The 22022-nt window shown below is 34.1% G+C and overlaps 1 long non-coding RNA gene across 2 annotated transcripts in view; it reads right to left on the bottom strand.

Moving 5' to 3' along the window:
• Positions 1 to 22022, bottom strand: part of LOC105374234 (uncharacterized) — a 50070-nt gene that overhangs the window by 7953 nt on the left and 20095 nt on the right. Inside the window, exons 1-2 of one of the 2 annotated variants that reach the window (XR_001741025.1) lie at positions 8879 to 8965; positions 7790 to 7841 (exon numbers count right to left, since the gene is read on the bottom strand). This is a non-coding gene — a long non-coding RNA (uncharacterized LOC105374234). Of the gene's footprint in view, positions 1 to 7789; positions 7842 to 8878; positions 8966 to 22022 lie in introns of those variants that run through there. The other variant, XR_001741026.1, reaches the window with a different exon arrangement.

The raw sequence follows: 22022 nt of genomic DNA, 5'->3' as shown, positions 1-22022 counted from the left end.
TCATTCTTTAAAAAACAAAAAAATAATGCCCCCCATGTAATCAATAGTTCAATGTTTGTTATAAAAATTGACAATAACAACAATAAATAAAGTCAAAATCTCAATATTGACCCTCAACATGGTTCAATGTCAAATGTGCTCATTTACCAAGCTCTCTTATCTGATGGGCTCTCTCATTGGACATAAAAACCTTTTATGTAGCATTAAATATACAGAGGATTATGTAATTCTTCCATTTCATATGTGCCACCAACCCTCTTATTATTATGCTATTTTCTTCTCCAAGGAACAGCTACTCCTAATTACATTTAGTGTTTCTGAAGGACACTTTGTGTAATATGATGGTTATTCAGCATCTGTTTCTCAAGCAAGATGGGAAAGATGATCTGCTATCTCTAAAATTGTCTATTGTACTCCTATTAATGTGTTTTCTGCTTTGTGCATCAATTTCTGAAAGACTTTCAATGCGTTTTACCTGATACCTTAATTGTAGCACAAAATGTTATGGGAAAATGCTATGGCTATGAATTAACCATTTACTGCCCAGCATTTACAAAATAGTATATACAGCTAGGTAAGACATACTTTGAAATTGTCTTCAAAGCAATGCGATGGATCTGGATTTTTAACACTCCCCTCCCCTACATACTTACAAAAGAAGTTATAAATATAATAAACATTAGTTGTTTTGGCAGTGGTCATTGATTAAAGAGGGATTAAGTGATAAAAATTTCTCCCCTTCATTAATGAGTACTGCAATACATTTTCTGCAGCCTCAGCCAGTCTCACATGTTCTTTCCCAGAGTAGGGTTACAACATCAGAGAAAATATTAAAAACATTACAGTGAGATGAGTAAGTATTCTAAGAAACTGGCTTTGTGTACATTGCCTGAGCTCTCTACCCATCAAAGTGACCAGCAACTCTCATTACGATTAAAGGAATAAGAAAGAGCAAGATCCTTTCTAAATTAAATAGTTTAATGCCATATTTCATAAACTACAGTCTACAAATCACTTGCATTAAAAAAAACTTAAGTGTTTATAGAAAATTCAGATTCTTGGACATCATCATAAATCTAGTGAATACTAATTTCTGTTGGGTAGTCTCCTGGAACCTGCATTTTTAGTAGGCTTCTAAGGTAAGTTATAAACATAACTAAAGTTTATTCATTTATTTATTTTTATTTTTTTGAGACAGAGTCTCTTTCTGTCACCCAGGCTGGAGTGCAGTGGCGCGATCTTGGCTCACTGCAACCTCCGCCACCCGAGTTTAAGCGATTCTCCTGTCTCAGCCTCCCAAGTAGCTGGGACTACAGGTGCCCACCACCATGCCCGGCTAATTTTTGTATTTTTAGTAGAGACGAGGTTTCACTATATTGGTCAGGCTTGTCTCGAATTCCTGACCTCAGGTGATCCACCGGCTTTGACCTCCCAACGGACTGGGATTACAGGCGTGAGCCACCACGCCCACCCTCATAACTAAAATTTAGAATCACTCTATGTGTGTGGCCAGTGTACAACTTTTACAGGACAAGATTTACTGATGAAGGCTGGGCTTAGTATTTAGTTAATAGCACTAATAGGTATGAATAGGTAATAATATTTGCAAATAGTGTTAATTAAAAGATTATCGGATGCAGCTAGAGGAAGAAAAGTGATTATGCAAAGTGCTTCTCAAACTTTACAATGCATACAGATCAGCTGGGAACCTTATTAAAATGAAGATCCTGATTCAGTAGTTCCTGGGTGTGACTTGAGAGTCTGCATTTCTAATAAGTTCCCAGGGAATGCTGGAGCTGCTGGTCTACGAATCAAAGTCTGAGTAGCAAGGATTAAGAAGGTTTAAAAGGCATACTCTCAAGAACTCCTAGAATCACAATAGTCTCTCCTTATCCAAGGTTTCACTTTCTGAGGTTTTAGTTACCCACAGTCAACCTAGGTCTGAAAATAGGTGAGTGCAGTACAATAAGATATTTTAAGAGAGAAAGAGAGAGAGGCCACATTCACGTAATTTTTATTATAGTATGTTGTTATAATTTTTCTATTTTATTATTATTGTTGTTAATCTCTTACTTAGCCTAATTTATAAATTAAACTTTATAATAGGTATGTATGTATAGGAAAAAACATAGTTTATGTAGGGTTTGGCACTATCCACAGTTTCAGGAGTATCCTGGGGGTCTTAGAATGTATCCCCCATGGATAAGGGGGGACTACCATAGTGTCCATTTTACTGAGCAGACTCCAAAATTTCTAGCAAAGATCTAAGAAGTTATTGTTCAATTCCAGACCCAGGAAATATGAATACCTGTGGAATTTTTTCCTTAACCTACAGAGTATGCTTTCTGTTTGACTTTCTACATGACGTGATCTGGGTTCTGTGAGCTCTAACTAAATACAAGCTGTTTTTCCTTCCAGAAGGAAAATGAACCAGTTTGAAGAATATCTATATTAAGTTGTAACATCTTATGGAAATGAGTATGAGATAGTGTGTGAATTAATCCAGGAATAATACGATTTCAAGAAGACAGAAGGTAATTGGCATTGAGAAATTGATGAGTTGACCAATATGACCTAGAGTAACTACTAGGGAATTATACTTATGTGAGTGTCACTATGCCAAAGATCGCACAGGAATTCTAAATTTAATCTCCAAACAGCCTTATGAGTTAAGTATACTTTCCTACATTTTACTGCTTATGAAATAAGATTCTGAGATGTTTTCCCAAGATCACACAGCTGGTAATGGCAAAAACAGAACCCCCATCTCTCTGACTCCCAAGTCTCTAATCTTTTTATTATATCAAACTGCCTTTCCCCCAAAAGAAGAAAAAAGACAATATTATCTGAGCTTTTTTTTTCAGAAAGCATAAATCCTCTATGAAGATTAATATTGCCCCATGGGTAAAAAATGGTTCTTAGCAGAGGTAGGAAGGAGTGGTGAAATAAATAAAACTTATTTATTGCAATGGTTGGCAGACAACACTGCATAAACAGATATGTAGCGTATCTACGGTATTAAAATTTCGTGGGGGAGAAGGGAAGTGATTAGGGAATAAAAAGTTAAAAAGGCTTCTAGGGGTTTGAGTGGGCAGGAAGTAGAGCATGATAATGAAAGAAAGATTGAGAAACACATCATAGAGGGTGAAGTTCAGCCTCGGAAGAAACACTGACATCTTTCAGCATTGCCACAATAATAGTGATGACCCACAGATTCTAGCATATGGGAGTTATCCATCACCAACCAAGGAAAAAGCAACTCACAGGGTGGTAGACGACTCCATACTGAGGCAACCATGTTAACCATTCATATGGCTGACAAGGCTAATGTGGAATTCTGCTGCTTTCAACAAACTATTTATCCAAAGAAGAAAAATGTAAGGAAGGAGGAAAAGGAAGGAATGAGACAGGGAGTGAAGGAGGGAGGAATAAAAGGCTTATAGCATCATTCCTTAGGAGGCACTAGCTACCCGGTATAACAAGACTATTGTCCACAGTTGTCATTTAGAATGCATTTGAGCTAAAAACTATCCAAAACAATATGATAAATCACCCTTAAACTCAGTACTTTGCAAAAAAAAAAAGGAATTAATTAATTGGTAGCAACTGATTCCACATGATAGAATGAGGATTACATGCAGCTTTTTCAACGGTTTTGTTAAATATGAGCTAGAACAGCTGAGCATGAATGGAAGGAGAGTCGGGAAGCCCGTCGTGCTGAGGGGCTTTCTGGAAGAGCATTCCTATTGAAAGAGGGATTCAGACATGTGCATGTGGTCCATTTACCATGGGTGCATCCTAGAAGGGGATAATTTTGAGTATAGAACATTATCTATTCCTCAGTTTATTCTCCCAATAAGGATGCTTGAAAAAAAAAAAAAAAACAAAAACAAAAAAAACAGTGATCCAAAGATTCTGGTAAACAAGTTTTGCCTGGAGAGAAAGCTGCAAATCAGAAATAACTGTTTTCTTAAGAAACTGGTAGTGTAAAATAACACGGTTTTAGGACCCATATACAGAAATATAGCACATAGGTTAGGAAGAAGAGTTTAGCAGAAAATGCAAGCTGATCTTGCCACATCAGGAGAACGGATGTATCAGAGGCACAGCAATTTTTGGCAAAGCGGAGCAGCTAAAGAGCAGCACAGTATTGGCCCAGCATTGTTTAGACAAGCTGCAACGAAATGCGGTATGAATAATAATGGTAGAAGCAGTGGCCAGGCAATTTTAAAGGCAATAGATGTGACCTAAATATTTTAAATTTTGTGTATATTCCTTTCTCAGATAAATTTATCCAGTTACAGCATGTAGCACTAGCAATAGCACAGACTTTAAAAATTTAACCAATAATATAATTTTATTTTCTAGTATCTCATGACTGAGTTGAACTAAAGCAGAAAGTGAACAACAGTTGTATTAGGGATGTTGCCAAAGTCACCCACTAAGTAGACTAAAGGATCTGTTAGGTCAGGTTTTGTCAAGTTACCAGCAGAAGCTATTGATTGTAAAATTTTAATTATACTATTATCTTCCCACGTGAAAAAGGTAGGGATTAAGAGGAGTAAGAGTCTCATGATATGGAGTCTTGCTCAGATGGTTTTGGAAAAGCCATATCTATAGCATGAAACCATTAACTTCTCATCTTGTTTGGAGGTTGAATATCTCTGGTTATGGCATTGTGCGGTTTGGTGAACTTTTTGTGTGGCCCATACATCAAATGGAAGACTTATCCCTTAAAGTTTATCTAATTTTAGCTCCTAGAGCTTCAGGAATGGAGCAGTTTCCATTTTTGATAATTTTGTAGAAAAAAATGAATTTGAGGAATCTAGAAGAATTCAGAATCTAGTCTATTGATAGATAGCAAGAACTTGAAAACAATGTGTAGAGCTTTATTCTAATAACAATCTAATAACAGACATAATATAGCTTTTTTAAAAGAGATAACTTTTCCTTTACATTGATCACATAGGAATCTCAGATTTAAAAACCTCTTGAGGCTAGAGAGCCAAACCAAGGCTGACTTTAGATTTCATCTACAGTCTTAAAAGATTTCTGGATCTGTCAGAAAGTGACAATTTTTATTTTCTTACTATAAGGCTGAGAATCCTTGAAGTCGGGCATTTTATGTACATTTTGAAATATGATATTTCAGTCAAAACCCTGGTAATATAACCAATGTTTCCAATTGTATCCTGTTATAAAAAGACAATTGATTTTTATTGAACTTATGTAAATAACCATATTACCCTACGAATATTCAAAAATAGTTTCTGAATTTTAGAAGGATCAAGTAGGGAGAAAAAGTAAGTGTTCTTACCTTTGTTCACAAAAGTATGATTTACAAACTTGTCATAAACTCTGTTTTAAATGAAAGCCTTCATTTAAAAACATTAACCTCATCAGTTAAAATATCATCTAATTTTTGTTTTGCTTGATTTTGATTCAGTTTTATGAATGTATCAGTTATTTATTAGCGTTTAGAAAATTTTGTATTTAGTACATTGGTTTCAAAGTTATTAGAATCTATACTTAAGCATACTTGTTAGAGTCTTTTCCATGAATCTGACTGTAAATGCTTTTAGAGAAGAATTAAAACTAGATGACAGAGACTTAGAATAGCATCGTTAAAAATCTGATGGAAGTTCATTACAATCAGCAATTGACAAGGAAATTGGGTTATTTATGTGGCAATCAACATCATAACCAGAATTATGACTGATGACATGTTAGATTTTTAAGAGTTTTATATAATTTGGGGATGTTTATATTAAGAACATACTCATAAATGTAATCAAAAGAAAATATAGCATTACTTTTCATTTGAAAATGTTTTCCGTACAATTTGCCAAATAAACCTCTTCATTCAATATTTTTACAAGATGAGAAATATACCCTTTGAGGCTCTCCAGGGGCTCAACTGGAAAATCCCAAAGTTAATTTTAGATCAGAAAGACTTAACTTACAATTTTGATACTGAGGAAGTCTGTCAAAGATGCCAAAATATTTAAAACACCTGATCAAAATAGTATCACAAGTCACTATGAAGTAATAGCCATGTATTTAACCAGAGTGATAACCAAAGGCTTTAAATGTAACACAGACATTTCATGGATATATATTTTCAAATATCTTAACCCTTTCAAATCTCAGTTTTCCTAAGTAATCAATAAAGACAACATAGGAAATTATTCTGATAAAACATAAAAATCTGTTTTTTAGGCCAGTTACCAAAGAGGCTTCAGAAATACCTCCTGTAGTGTGATGCTTCTCTTTATGAGAAATTCATTTAGGCAATCTGGAAGTCAAACTTGATGAAAAGGTACTTGAATTTAATCAGACATAGGAAAGTTGTGTGTCCAAAGGTCATTAGTGTATCTCATATTATAGAAGAATGCAAACAAGAAAAGTAGTACCTTAAGTAGGGAAATACATGGCTTTTAGTAAAAGCATGGGAAATTTCCTGCTTACATAGAAAAATTTAGACACATCAAGAGAAGCCAAGAGTATAGAATCAAGAAAAACATTGCTGGTAACAGTAAATCCACAGTTTAGGAGATGGTTGAAAAGTTTATTTTTTAAAAAACAGACTTTAGAATTAAATCAAAACCTCTTGCAAGTTTTACTGAGTAGATTAACATTTTAGGAAAACCTTGCTATTCTAATATAGGAGACCAAATTTATACTTTTGTATTAGTGTATTTTTAATATCAAAGCTCAGTATTTAGAAAGACAAAAATAATTTACTTTTAATTGTAGGCAACTTGATCATGTACAAAATTTCCTCTATAAATTTGTCCTTTCCAAACCTTTTGTGACTTACTCAGACTTTTCATGACATGTTTATATTTTCTGCTTTTTCCTATACTTTAAAAAAAATTGACCAGTCGTTTTACATTAGGACAAAAATCTATCATATATTATTATTGTTTATTTAAAATGATTTTCTTTCTACAACTTTTTTGATACCCAAAATATATTTTCATACATGTAACATTTTTGTATCTTTTCCTCTTACTTAGTGATCTCTTAAATCTTGTTTTTGTTTTGTAAACCCATATTTTAAAAACAACCTTCAAATAACCTCTGAATTAGACAAAATTATTCCTTTTAAAAAATAAAGAACATACTTTTATATCTTTTTAAATAGTTTTTTAAGTCAAAACCACATTTTTTGGTACATTTTGTATACAGAATTCTATATTAATTTTAATATAGCAATTTTCAGTTAAAACTTAGGAAGCAAGAAATTTTGAATTGTCTGTCACATATCAGTGGTTTCTATGTGAGGGCTATTTTATAATTTTAGGAATATGTTTTTCCCATAACATAAATTTTACATGTATTAATAAAACCAAATATATTTAGTCTTTCTGTAAAATTTAAGAAGCCAAGAACAAACTTATAGTTATGTTTGGTAATTTATGTTTTAGTATTTTGTCTTATTTGAAAATGTCTCAGATATCTAATTAGTATTTATCATTTAATTCAGCATAACATAATTTTAAGGTTTTAAGTTACATAAAAAGTTTATTTATAAATATAATTATTCTATTTATATTTACCTAATTTATTTTGAACAATTATAGATTTATAAAACCTGAAGTACAGACAAAGTCACCATTTTAGTTATATTTCTGTTAACCACTCTGATAGAGTGTAACTATTTAGTTGTTTACCTAAGTAAGATCCTTAAAGTTAAATACATAGATATTTGGTTGCTAACTCTGAATACACAGCTGGAAAATACAAGAAAATTGTTCTCTTCTAGACCCTTCAGAAAGGGACATACCTCTGATGACATCTTGAGTTTAGTCCAGGGAGGTCTGGGTCAGACTTCTGACCTGCAGAACAGTAAGACAATAAATTTATGCTGTCTTAAGCCACTAAATTTGTGGTAGTATTTTTGTGGCAGCAATTAACAAACGAACAAACACCAACAACAGCAACAAAAAAACTGAAGGACTCGGCTGGGGAAACTTTAAACATTTAGAGGCCAATCCAAGGAAAAGTCAGCTAAGAAACCTGAAAAGAGCAACCAATATGAGAATAAGAAATTCAAAAGAGTGTGGCATCATAACAACCAAGAAGGAAAAAAGTGAATAACTACATCAAAGGTGCCTAAGAGATAAAATAGATAAGGACAGAAAAGTGACTGATGGATTTGGCAACATGGAAGGTATTGATGACACTCACTGTTATAGTTAGGTGATTGTCCAACTCTCACTGAGCAAAGAACAGTGTGTGAGAAGTGAAAATGGGTGTGATGATCACCAACTACTCTTTTCATGTGTTTCTCATGAAGATGGGCAGGGAAACGGAGCCAATATTTTTAGATGAGACAACCAGATAGTTGGAAAAAAGGAGCAGTTATGGAGGAGAGATTATGAGTTCAGTGGTGGAAGTGTTGCATTTGAGGTGCCTGCGGGAAGATACGGCCAGGAGTTACTTCCACTTGTTTATGTGCAGCTTGGGACTCCATGTGGACTCAGAAATAAGGATTTTGAAACCACACAAATATAAGTTTCCACTTAAACCTTAAGTGAGTGAATAAGGTCAGTCAGAGAGACTCCGAAATAAAGAAGAGCGGAAGTAGCATTGTACATAAACACAGTTTAACGTGGACTTAAATGACAATGTATAGAGTGGAAGAGTAGGATTTCGTTAAAAATAAAAGTATATATTTATCTATGCAGTTTTAGAAGGACACTTCAGAGCTATGGGATAAAAAGTAAATAATCAATAAAGCAGAAAACTGGTGCTGAAGCAAGTAGAAGCAGCTTCAACTATCAATATAGCTATTGGAAGGCTGATTCTGCTAAAGGTGGAGCATCAGAAAGTTCTTAACAAGCCCTGCTGAACTGATAGTTTCATTACTCACAAGGCAGAGGGTGGAGGCAGCAATGAGAGAAAACCCTGCTGGGACCTCATTCTGCTGCACAAGAACTGATGAAAGCGGTAGAAATGATGGGAACCTGGGGAGAAAAGAATGATGTCATCTTTGAGTTTATAACAAGTAGGGAGAGATAGATAATATCGTGTGGTTGTTAAGGGTATGCCTCTGAAGTCCAACTTCCCGGGTTCAAATTCTACCTCTGATGCTAGCTGAATGCCTGTTACTTACTCATTCAGTGCTTCAGTTTCTGTTTCTGAAAATAATCATAACTAGTTCATTGGGTTGTTCTTGGAATTGAATGAATTACTACTTGTAAAGCATTTTGGACAGCGGATAGCAAAAATATATGTAACCTAATAATAATATCAACTGATTTGTACCTTGGATTTCAGAAAAGTTGTTTTGGAAAAAATTGTAGAAAAGGTACATTCTCTAATATACACAGAATTGATTACTGAAGATTTTGGGCGGGATCTCCTTTCACTGGATGTTAGAGTATATTCACTTACGAAACCATCCCCGTCATCCAGTACTAGAATCAGGATTGGTGTAGTAACCTGCAGTAATCAAGAAAAGTGAGCACCCAGAGGTGATTTAAAGTCATGTCCCTAGAAAAGACCAAAGGTCAAAATGAGGGGACCAAATTCAGTTAACAAGATTCAGGTGCAAGGTTAGAGTCAAGATAAATGATAAAGAAATGAGTAGACATTAGAACAGAAGTGGCCGGGGCAGCAAGGGTGGGAGGGAAGATGAAGGGTCCATGACAACCTAGCACCTGAGAGTTCGTGTTTCCATAACCTGTTTTATGTCCTGAGCCATGTTGTGTGACTGAGGACCATGTATATGTGGATACTCAATAAAAGTAAGTTCTTGCTTTGTGATCATAAAGATATCAGGCCAGAAGATGCTGTTGGGAAACAAGCCAAATATCAATATCTATTTCCTTCACACACACACACACACACACAGATGAGCCTTGTGAGTTGGTGACACCAAGATGTTATGGAAGATACTTTAAGAAAGTTGAAATCCAAATGCCAGGACTAAGAGGGGATAGAGTAGGAAAATAAATTCATAGTAGGTATAAAAGGTTAAAACCTAGAGGTCTCAAACCAAATTTAGCACACAAAGTTTTGTTTTTGTAATTTCTGTGGATAGTTGACCTGAATAAATAAATAAATGTATTAACTACTTATATTCAAATTATAATGATCTCTCTTTTCTTTTTCTTTCCTTGTTTCCTTTTTTCCTCCTTCTTTCCTTCCTCCTTTCCTTTCTCCTTCTTTTCCTTTCGTTCTCTTTCTCTCTTCCCTGCAAACACGCAGTCACGCACACACACACACACACACACACACACTCAGATTTTCAGCATCTTTTTTAAAATCAGAGGATTTTACCACAGTGGACCATCAGTCCTGCATGGCAATCAGCCAGAGGTAGCTAAGTAATGACTGCCTTCCCTGTAGGTGTGCTTTGGGCTTTCCAGTTCTCCACCTTTTACCAGCTAGGCCTGTGAAGGTATGTATGTGAACCATGTACAAGCACCCAGAGTTTAGGAAAGTAACATAAGATACAAAGCAGTTAGCATAAAAGGAAATGACCAAAGAGAGAAAACAGTTGGTAAATATGGCCCAAAATTATAAACCAATGGTGAATGATTGGTAAATGGACTGATTTGGTTTAAAGGGCCACAGATTAAAAAAAAACTCATTGTAGTTGCAAAGGACACTCTTTGATGAGCTCAGATTTTAAATGAACACTGGAAAGGGATTCAGGGAGGAATTAGGAACATAAAACTAAGGATTAAATTAGAAGATTGGTTTGAATCTCTAAGAAGGAGGTTGAATATTCAAAGTGAGTTCAAGTTTGCAAAACTTTCTCGAGACAAAATAGTGGACCTTTTTCCTTTTTGCTAAATTCAGAGTCAGAAGAAGATGAGGGAAGGCAGGCTATGGTTGACACATGGTACAATAGTAACAGATGACAAAAAGGAAACAAAACCAATCGATGCCTATTTAGCTTCCACCTTCTCCAACCAGGAGAATGATCCCCAAAATGGCAAAAGGATAGCAAACGTCGTTAGGAGGAAAGTGAAAACAAGACAGGTTAGGAGATGCTGTGAAAATATAAAGCCTTTGTAATCCTCCAGTCTCAGAAAAATTACATCTCAGGGGAGCAAAAGAACTAGAGGTTCAATGACAAAACCACCACAATCTTTGAGGATGCCTAAAAATGGAAGAAATTGGAAATGGAAAAAAAGTAACTTTTTCTTTCATTTTAATTATTTATATCTTATATTCATTAAGATAATTCACATCAGAAGTAGGCAATTAGAGCATGTAGAAAGGTATTAAGAAGAAGGAAAGAAACTACTTTTACTTTTATCTTTCAGTGTCAACTGTGGTCACCACAGCATATTTTCTTCCTGACATTTTATATGTACTTTTACATAGTGATAGTATGATTATAAAATTATTCATCAGGATTAATCAACTTTGTCTTAAACCATAGCATTGTTCGATGCAATGATAACTATTCAAAAACATCTATTTAATAACTACATAACATCGCCTTTTGTATATGTTAAGTAATTTCTTTAACCCTTCTCTTCCAGTGATATTTGTCTCCAGTTTTGCACCGTTATAAACTGTGATGAACATCATTACACAGAAATATTTATTATTTTTTAGATGATGCCTTAGCATTCATTCCTTCATAATGATTTGAGATAGAATGACTCTATGTACATTATTCAACTGTTTTTCAGAGTTTCATTCAACGTACATGTACAACAATACCGTCCCAAGGGATCTTCAAATGAATGGAATCTCAAAATTACTTAAGATTTTGCAATTTAAGGGTGAAAATGATATATTGTTATTTTGATTTGTATTTGTTTGTATCTCAGTAAGGTAGAAGAGTTTTGTATGAGTCAGTGGTCATTTTATTGGTAAACATCTCTATATAATGCTTAACATTTTTATTCTGTTTTAAGGTATTAATAGAAAGAGTTATCAATGTAAAATAACCATCCAGTGTCCAGTAATGCTTTTTGATTTGAATATTTTTTTCTGATATCAACATTTAATTTTGTAGCTTTGCATTCAACTGAATAAGGATACAACTACAGTTGTTTGTATTTCATCCAATTATGTAGCTTTAAGTATAAAAAGATAATCAGTCCTTTTATATTACCAGATTACTATTCTTAGGTTCTTAAAGTGACCAAAGAATGTCTTTTTCTACAAGAATATGTAAGTCTCAAGTTTAATAGAGCTTTTCAAACCTAAGAAAATCCTTCTGTTGTCATTACATCAGAATGACATCTTAGATAAGTATGTGAATCTTGAGTCCTTACCATTTTACCTCGAAAAAAAAAAAATACCAGACTTTTCTCTATATTGAGTAATTAAGTTAAGTATATTTTTAGTTACAGAAAACAAAAATGAATAGTATATTTTCAAAAGCCATAAACACATAGTTGTTGTCTTGCTTTCAAACTAGATTGGTAATAATGCTGCACATAGAATTCTCAGGTCGCAATTTTTTCTCCTAAAATTTCTATAGGCATTGTTGTTCACAATTTAGTGTTGTACAATTCAAGTCTGAGGCCAGTGTAACTTTGCTCCTTTTTAGGTTATTTGTATGTCATTGCTCCTAACTAAATATATACAGAATTTGTGAGTGTCTTACTATTCATTTCATTTTTCCTGGAATATATGGGGCCACTTTCAATCTGCAGGCTCAAGTTAATTTTACCTTATAGAAATGGAAATATTTTTCTACTTTCTTTTTCTTTTCTTTCCCTTTCTTCTGCTTTTATTTTATTTTTATTTTTTGCAAATAAGCAACACTTGCTGTTTCCTTTTTTTGTTAAAAAAATTTAATTGGCAAGTAAAAAATGTGTTTTTCAAGGTGTACAACCTGATGATTTGATGTGCGTGTGTATATATATATAAAATGTGTGTATATATACAAATGTGTGTATATATACAAATGTGTGTACATATAAATGTACATACATTTATATGTATCAAATGTATATACACTTGTATATACATTTATATATCAAATGATAATATCAAATGTGTATCTATATAATGTTTATGTATATAATAATTACACTATATATAGTGTAATTACTACCACAATCAAATTAACATATCCAACACCAATCATAGTTACCAGGAGGCTTAAAATCTACTTTTATCAAATTTCAAGTAAACAATGAGTATTATTAATAATAGTTGCCATGCTGTAATTAGATCCCATAACTTAATCAACTCATAACTTAAGGTTTGTACCCTTTCACCTACTTCCCCCAATCCCTTCTCACTCTCCAATCCCTAGCAACCATTGTTCTACTCTCTGCTATGAATTCAACATTTTTGGATTCTATGTATAATTGAGATCACCCGGTATTTTTATTTCCATGTCTGGCTTATTTCACTTAGCTTAATGTCCTCATCCATGTTGCCTCAAATTGCGCAATTTTCTCCATTTTATGGCTGCATAATATTCCATTGTATTTGGATACCAATTTTCTTCATTTGTTCATCTGTCAGTGAAAACTTTAAGTCTCTTGGCTATTATGAATAATGCTGCAATGAATATGAGGGTGATTTACCACATGATCATGAAGGCCTGAAAACAGAGAACCAACACAATGAGGTTGGAAAAACACAGAAGCCGTGATGACAAGTTGACCTTTGTAATGAGCCTACATGACAATCCACTCTGCTTCCATACTTCTAGGTATATGAGAAAACAATGTATATGAGAAAATCGCTTAAGTGAACCCACAGCAGAATTATTGTTTGTGGCCAGAGATACCAGTATCAGTCCCTGTTTCTACCTCACATTGGCTGTGTTATTGGACTTTTCTTAAGAAAGTAAGATAAATATTCTCTCTTTTTTTTTTTTTTTTTTTGAGACGGAGTCTTGCTCTGTCGCCCAGGCTGGAGTGCCGTGGAGCGATCTCGGCTCACTGCAAGCTCCGCCTCCTGGGTTCACGCCAATCTCCTGCCTCAGCCTCCTGAGTAGCTGGGACTACAGGCACCTGCCACCACGCCCGGCTAATTTTTTTTTGTATTTTTAGTAGAGATGGGGTTCCAGCATGCCAGCCGGGATGGTCTCCATCTCCTGACCTCGTGATCCGCCCGCCTCGGCCTCCCAAAGTGCTGGGATTACAGGCGTGAGCCACCGCGCCAGGCCAAGACAAATATTCTTAAACATTTCACTCTTATTCTCACAGAAAATTATTTTCAGAAACATATTGCTCTCTGATTGTTCAGGATAGTTCTTCTTTGCCTTTATGTTGAAAAATCTTTCCATAAACCCTAAGTCATCCTGTTTAATACTACCTCGTATACTCATCCTTAATTCCTTTATTCTGATGCTTTATTTTACAAAAGAGTATATGAGTTATTCTTATCCGGATACTTAGTCTACATGTACTGATGAATTAATCCTTTTGTTTCTAGAGCCGTCTGAGGAAATATGTTCAGTATGGGGTAATGTATGCAGCCGCTGTTGTGGATGGATGGATAAGTAGGCAGATGGTTAGATAGAGTCATGTCATTTGTTTCAGTGTACTAAGGAGACTAGTGCACTAGTTAGCCTGTTTAACTACAATAAAGAGTCAGACTGTACTGTAGTTCTTTTTGTACAAGGAAAGTACTTAAAAAATTACATCTATTGTGTACTGCTTAAGTGATTCTTATTTGCTCAGCCAGCACCGGCATACAAGACTTTTCCTGAGATAATTGCATAACACAGGATATAATGCAATACTTGTCCCTTTCTCTACTTTTGATCATGTTATAAATTGGAAATTGTAACTTCTGAATGAAATTTGAATATTCCACATTAATGCAATTTCCAATTTTTGTGTAATGCCAAAGGAGTAAACGCATAAAAATAGTTTCACCATACAAAGATGGAAAATAAGATCCAAAATATGGTAATAAATAAGTAAAATTCAAAAGCATATGTCTTTAAAAACTTGTTTTAATAAAAAATCTATCACCCAAATCAATTGCAGCTATATTACAATATCTTTTGTCTGGTTTTACATGAAAAAGGGGAAAACAACAACATACACCTAGTATGTATATACTGGGCTTCTATGTATCATCACAAATTGTGTATTTGCAGATGCCTATAGCCTGCCATTGTCCATAATTCCAATTTGTTCTTCCATTATCAAAATATATGATTTTACAAGTAGATGTTCACTTTTTTAAGAAGACATTTAGTAGAATTGTCCTTTTTGTATGTTTTAGAGTTAGGATACTGAGTAAATTATCTTCCATGGAAGTTCTTGTGGATCAGGATGAGAGCGGCTGCCAGATTTTCTGGTCAACGTAATCCTTAAGTCACAAAAGAGCAGATATAGGAGATGCAGCTGTCCGCACAATTCTGGTACAGTGAGTGGAATGTGTCTACAACTGAATGTGCATACAAAGTCATTGGAAATTCCCTTCATAGAGTAGCATATGGTCTATTCTTATTTTTAGTTTCCCATGTCATTGCAATTTTTGTCTCTTGATCTTTCAAAATATTTTAACTGAAAATTGTAAGAAGACATAGCAGACACCAGGATTTGGCCTTTGTACTAATTATAATTCATCTATTATAAAAGGAGAATATATATGTCACACACACATATGTCAGTAAGCTTGAAAGTATTGCTATTACACATTATATTACCTAATAAAAGTATTAAACAGATTTTAAGGAGTACTTCAAATAGAACAGTGGGCATTCAAGCATGAGCATGTGTTCACCTAGTTTACTCCCTCCCTAGCTGGTCTCATTTCCTTGAAAGTGGAGCTGACTCTACCAATAAATATGATGGGTCACTACAAATCAGTGTCATTAAATGTTTTTCTTGCATCCCTGAGGCTTGTGGGCAGCCATGATGTAGGAAGGGCTTCAGAGAAACAGGGGTGATGAGAGTAGGTTTCCTGTCTTTCCACTCTCATTTCAAACACAGCAGCTCCACCATGCTATGCTTTATAAATTTTGACTCCATATAAGACTATTCAAAAAGGACAATTATGCTGGTTTTGAAAAGGCAAACAGCAATCTGAAAGTCTTCCTATTGATGAAGTATTTTTCCTCTAGGAAGAGATATAACAAAGTCTTTCATGATATTCTTGAGACTGTAGTAATAAAGTAGGAGGGGACAAGAATACAGTTAGCTAGGCTGTAGCTAGCTAGACAGCCATCACTATCATGCCAGCCTGGTTTTCTCTAGTGATATGGCGATGAGATCCTGACCAATTTGATATTTTGATTATTAACTTGAGAGAAGATATAAATGACATACTAATTAAATTTACAAATAACTAAAAATTGAATTAACCAGGTAACATGTAGAGTGGCAATCAATATTTAAAATTATTTCGACAGACTAAAAACTAATAAGATTAAATTAGAGACATATTTTAGGCCTACCCTTGAGCCTTAAAAATGATTTCTCAAATGCCGAACAGATGAAGTATAACTTAAGTAATTCATTTGAAAAAGGTTTTTATGAACAGCAAGTTCAGTGTGAGGCAAAAGCTATTCTAAAACAGTAAATGTAATTTAAAACTATGTTATGTGTAGAACTTACAGCATTCCAGGTGGCCCCATTAGTAGCTGATCTACATTAAGAGAGCATATTTGATTTGGGCACAGTTAAAGTAAATTGTCTATCAAGGAAGGTAGGAAAATATCGAGAGATTAGCTATGTTACAGAAGAAGATGTTGTTGGCATTGAAGGTGTTGGGACCAGACAGAAGACAAGACATAGGCGCCCACCACTACGCCTGGCTAATTTTTTGTATTTTTAGTAGAGATGGGGTTTCACCGTGTTAGCCAGGATGGTCTCCATCTCCTGACCTCGTGACCCATCCGCCTCAGCCTCCCAAAGTGCTGGGATTACAGGCGATAATTCTCTATCACTTTCTTTTAAATAAAAAAGAAGGCATTCCAAACTAATTACTTTGAAAGAAAAATAAGCTCTTGATTGATGTTTTCTGAGTATACAAATTATTTACGATCCCACTTGCTGTATTTTTCATATTTGTTGTATTGAAAGATGACACATCAACTATGTTAGATATTTTAAGACCAAGAAGTGTTATTATGTTCAATTCTAACACACTATTTTTTCATGGCATTTGACTTTCTTTGTCCTCATGTATTCTTATTTTTATGTTTGCCCTTATAGAGTACAGACATTTTGTTTTTACATATATCACTAAAATTGTTCCCATTTTCCTTATTGTATAGGATCATAATATGTCTCAATAACTGATTATTCTTTTTCCACAATGTTTCATAATTGAGTAATCAATCTTTAGGACTTTTTTGCTACTATACATAATATTGAATAAGTGGATGAATCTGATTTTTTCTTGGGTATAATAATATTTTCATTTTGAAAAAAGAAACCTTTAGGATAAAAATTTAAAGTTCAAGAAAAAAGGTCTTATGTAATTTCGACAGAAATTGCATTGAGATTATATAATAATTTGAGATAAATAATATCTTTACAATACTGAATATTTCTATTAACGAGCAATTAATTTAGACAATTTAAATCTTTCCTACTCTATTTTCTTATAGCTTTACGATTTTGTTTATAGAAATCTGAAGTGTTTCTTAACTTTATAGCTATAGTTTTGATGCTATTGGGATAGATATAATTTTTAAAGCAATTGTCTCCTGGTTTCTTTGCAGAATTATAAACATAAATGTCTTTGTGATTCAGAAAAGTAGCATAACTGATTTTATCGTCTTTCAATATATTAATGTAGGAATTTACATTAATATATTTCCTACTGTTGAATTGACTTTACATTTCTGAAATAAAAATCGTGATTATATTGTAATATTAGTTTTTGTTGTTAACATTTTTAAATTTTATTTTTCTAATTGACAAATAATTATACATATTCATAAGGTACTAAGTTATAGTTTGATATATAGACTGTACAATGATCAGATCGGGGTAATTAGCATATCTATTATCTCAAACATTTATTATTTCTTTGTGTTAGGAACATTCAATATCCTCCTCTTTGAACCTATATATATTATTGTTAACTATAGTCAGCCTACAGTGGTAAGAACACTATAACTCATTAACTTTGACTTATTCCTAATATTAATTTTTAATATTTCAAATTTTATCTCTGCATTCATAAATGGCATTACTCTGAGCTTTTTCTGCCTTATTTTGGCATCAAGGTAAGGCTGCCCTTTTTCCTGCCAAATTTCCTATTTTGATCAAGTTGTTTCTTTACATTTTTTGTTTATTTGAATGATAGGGAAGTACTCTCTTTTTTTTTATATTGATAGTTTTTCTTAAGTTTATAAAAGTATGTTTAAAATGTTTCCTCTTAATTGCAAAAACAATTATATGCACAGCCTCTAGCCATTGTATAATGCAGGGACTCAGCCAAGCACAGTGGCTCATGCCTGTAATCCCAGCACTTTGGGAGGCCAAGGCAAAAGGATCACTTGAGTCTGAAGTTTGGGACCAGTCTGGGCCACATAGAGAGACCATGTCTCTCCAAAAATTAAAAAATTAACCTGGCATCTTGGCACATGCCTGTGGTCCTAGCTACTTGGGAGACTGAGATGGGAGGATCACTTGAGCCCATGATGTTGAGGCTGCAGTGAGCTGTGACTGCACCACTGCTCTCCAGCCTGGATGACAGAGTGAAACCCTGTTTCAAAATACAACAAACCCCACGAACTCAACATAGTCATTTTCCCTGCCCATTCTCTCACATTTTGTTAATATTATGTAGAATTCTAGCTCCCTGTTGACAGTAATTTTACTGTCTACTTTGTCTCACATATGTCAGGAGTTTCATCTTAACAATCATTTAAAATTTCATAGCCAAATTATTAGCAACTCAAAATTTAATTAGAAGTTTTACTGGCTCCTTCTCTCACCACTGCTTTTTATCCCCAAGGTCTAACTCTTGAATTCATTTTTTGTTTTGTTTTACTGCATCCTTATCTTGAATTTTTTTTCCCGTAAGTGCTCATGTAGCATACTGATTTTATTTTTAGTTATATTTTGGTATAGAATTCTAGGATCAAAATCCTATTATTAAATTATAGACATTTTGCCATAATCCTTAGCAATCAGTTTAAGAACTAATAATTCATTTGTAAGGACCCTCTTCTGTCTTTTAGATTTTCTTTAGTTTGGAATTCACAAATTTTACCAATATTTATTAAATCTATATTTTTTATTTTCCTCTTCCACAATGTTATCTTAAAATATTGGAAAAGTTCTTTGTGTCTGAAGGAAGATCTGAATTTTTTCTTTTACTATATTATTTTTTTCTTCCTTACATATCGTCTTCTAGATTGTCTGTTAAATTGGCATCAGATGTTTTACATCTGTCTTGTCTCTTTTCTCATATAATAATAATGCTGTATTATTGCATTTGTTCTTAATATATTCACTTCTAGATTAATAGTTTAGCTATCAGCCATATCCCTTTTGCTATTCAAATTTTCTACTGCCCTCTATAAATAATAATGATTTTTACTTTTTCCAATTTTTTTATTCTTTATTCTCCTCCCTCCATCAACAGACTATGCTTTATGTTTATAACTTTACGTTTGGATATGATATCCCCATAAAACACTCTAAGAATATTAAGTAGACTTATTTTAAAGTTGCATTTTATGCATTGTTTCTTCAGAGATTAGTTATGTGTTTACATTATGACCTCCTTTTGTTTGAAGTGATTTTTTGTTATTTCCTCAGAGTTACTCATTAGCATCTAGAATTAATTCATATAGGGAGCTTATGTTTCCTCAACACTTGCGAAAAATCACTTTTCGTCTGTCAGTAAATATAACTCAAAATTGCATAAGCTGAAGGTGGGAAGGAAAATGCAGCATAGGGACCGATGACCTTCCTTCCATGCCCATGACATTTTCATGACATAAATTGTAGAAGACAGGAGTTACCAGTCCTGCTTATTTTTTCAGGCCTGATGCCCATACTGGGAGTCCACTGTGGTAGACTCCATTTTACTTAGAAATCTATATTGCTAGCTATAATCTGGAGGCAAAAACTTCATGTAGGCACTCTGTAAAGGGTGACTGCTGACCTAGAAATCGTTCAGTGATTTACCTGCCAATTTTCCTGTGCTTAAACATCAGGCTCTGCATGCTCTCATCTCTCCGTCTTTCAGTGTTCCTTTAGGAAAAGCAGCACTGGATGTTTTCAGCAGTGTCTCTCAATTACTACAGCTCCCCTCAGCATCAATCCAAACTGATCAGTTTTCCCTTTCTAATATTTCCAGAGTCCCTGATCTTCTGACGGCATCCTTCCCAGCTCTTCAGGATTGCTATGGATTTCTTAGGTCACTTCAATGAGACTTGAGAACAGATGAGAATTAAAAGTAGATATCAGTTCCCCCCAACTTTTTTTTTTTTTTTTTTTTTTTTTTTTTTTTTTTGAGACGGAATTTCGCTCTTGTTGCCCAGCCTGGAGTGCGATGGCGCGATCTCGGCTCACCGCAACCTCTGCCTCCCGGGTTCAAGCGATTCTCTTGCCTCCGCCAGAGTAGCTGAGGTTACTGGCATGCCCACCACGCCTGGCTAATTTTGTATTTTTAGTAGAGACGGGCTTCTCCATGTTGGTCAGGCTGCAGTCCCCCACATTTTGAACCTGAAGTTCCCAATGAATTCTGCCTTTACTCTAAAGATTTGCCAGTGGTCACAGTAATAATTACTTTCTATTTGTCTTGGATACCTACCACAGTTTTTGTATAACTCTATTCTTATTATATCATACCGCATTGTAATTATGTATATGTTTTTCTCTGAAAGAGAAACAGAACTATGAAGTTATTAAGGGTAGTGACAATTTTATTCATGTTCGCATTTCCAGAACCTAACACAGTTTCTGGTATAAAGCAGATCATAATAGTCACTTACCAAACAGTTGAGGAATGCATATTTCTAATACGAAAAATGCTAGAATGTGATGGCTAGGTATTTGTTTTGGAAGATTGTGGCTACTGCAGAGAATAGAATTCAATTTTCCTAAACCTGCTTATGTCATTATTCCTTATAATTTTAAATATTTATGAAACAGTGTCGGCTGCAGTTACCCAACTTTTTAGAATGAGGCAAGCCCTTTCCCTATCGATGCCTTGAGGAAAGAACAGTGCACCATCAAAGATTTCTGCAAATTTCCAGGGAGCATGAGAACTGTTTCTCATGCTCACCTCTGAGTCTACATGTTTCTACAGAATTACATTAAGAAGAGTTAGGATGTCTTCTGCATGTTGTGCCTTTTCTTCTCTGTATCAACACAAACATGCCACTCAGCTATGGTCATTAGTTAAAATGTAAGCCAACAGCAGATGACATAATCTTACATATAAAAAAAACCTAAAGACTCTACAAAAAAAAAAAAACACTTAGAACTCCATAAACAAGTTCAATAAAGATGCAGGATACAAAATTAATATACAAAAACCAGAAGCATTTCTATATGCAAACAATGAACTAGCTGAAAAAGAAATCAAGAGGGCAATCTCATTTACAATAACTACAAAAAAATACTTATGAATAAATTTAACCAAGGAGGTGAAACGCCTCTACAAGGAAAACTACAAAACACCGATTAAAGAAAATTGAAGAGGATACAAATAAATGGAAAAAAATTCCGTGCTCATGGATCAGCATAATTAATGTTGTTAATACGACAATATTACTCCAAGCAATCTACAGATTTAATGCAATCCCTGTCAAAATACCAATAACATTTTTCCCAGAAATAGAAAAAAAAATTCTAAAATTTCTATGGAACTGCAAAAGACCCTAAATAACCAAAGAATTACTGAGCAGAGAACACAGTCGGAACCATGACCTTACCAGACCTCAAAATACTATGAAGCTGTAGTAACCAAAACATCATGGTACTAGCACAAAAATAGACACTTAGTCCAATGGAACAGAATAGAGAACCCAGAAATTAATCTATGTATTTATAGCCAACTGATTTTCAACAAAGGTGCTAAGGACACTCACTGAGGAAAGGAGAGCCTCTAATAAATGGTGCTGGGAAAACTGGATATCCATATGCAAAGGA

This window comes from Homo sapiens, chromosome 3, assembly GCF_000001405.40.
Source record: "Homo sapiens chromosome 3, GRCh38.p14 Primary Assembly".
In the NCBI taxonomy this organism is placed as follows: domain Eukaryota; kingdom Metazoa; phylum Chordata; class Mammalia; order Primates; family Hominidae; genus Homo; species Homo sapiens.
Note: the sequence above shows the minus strand (reverse complement) of the source record. Positions and strands in the feature narration are given on the sequence as shown.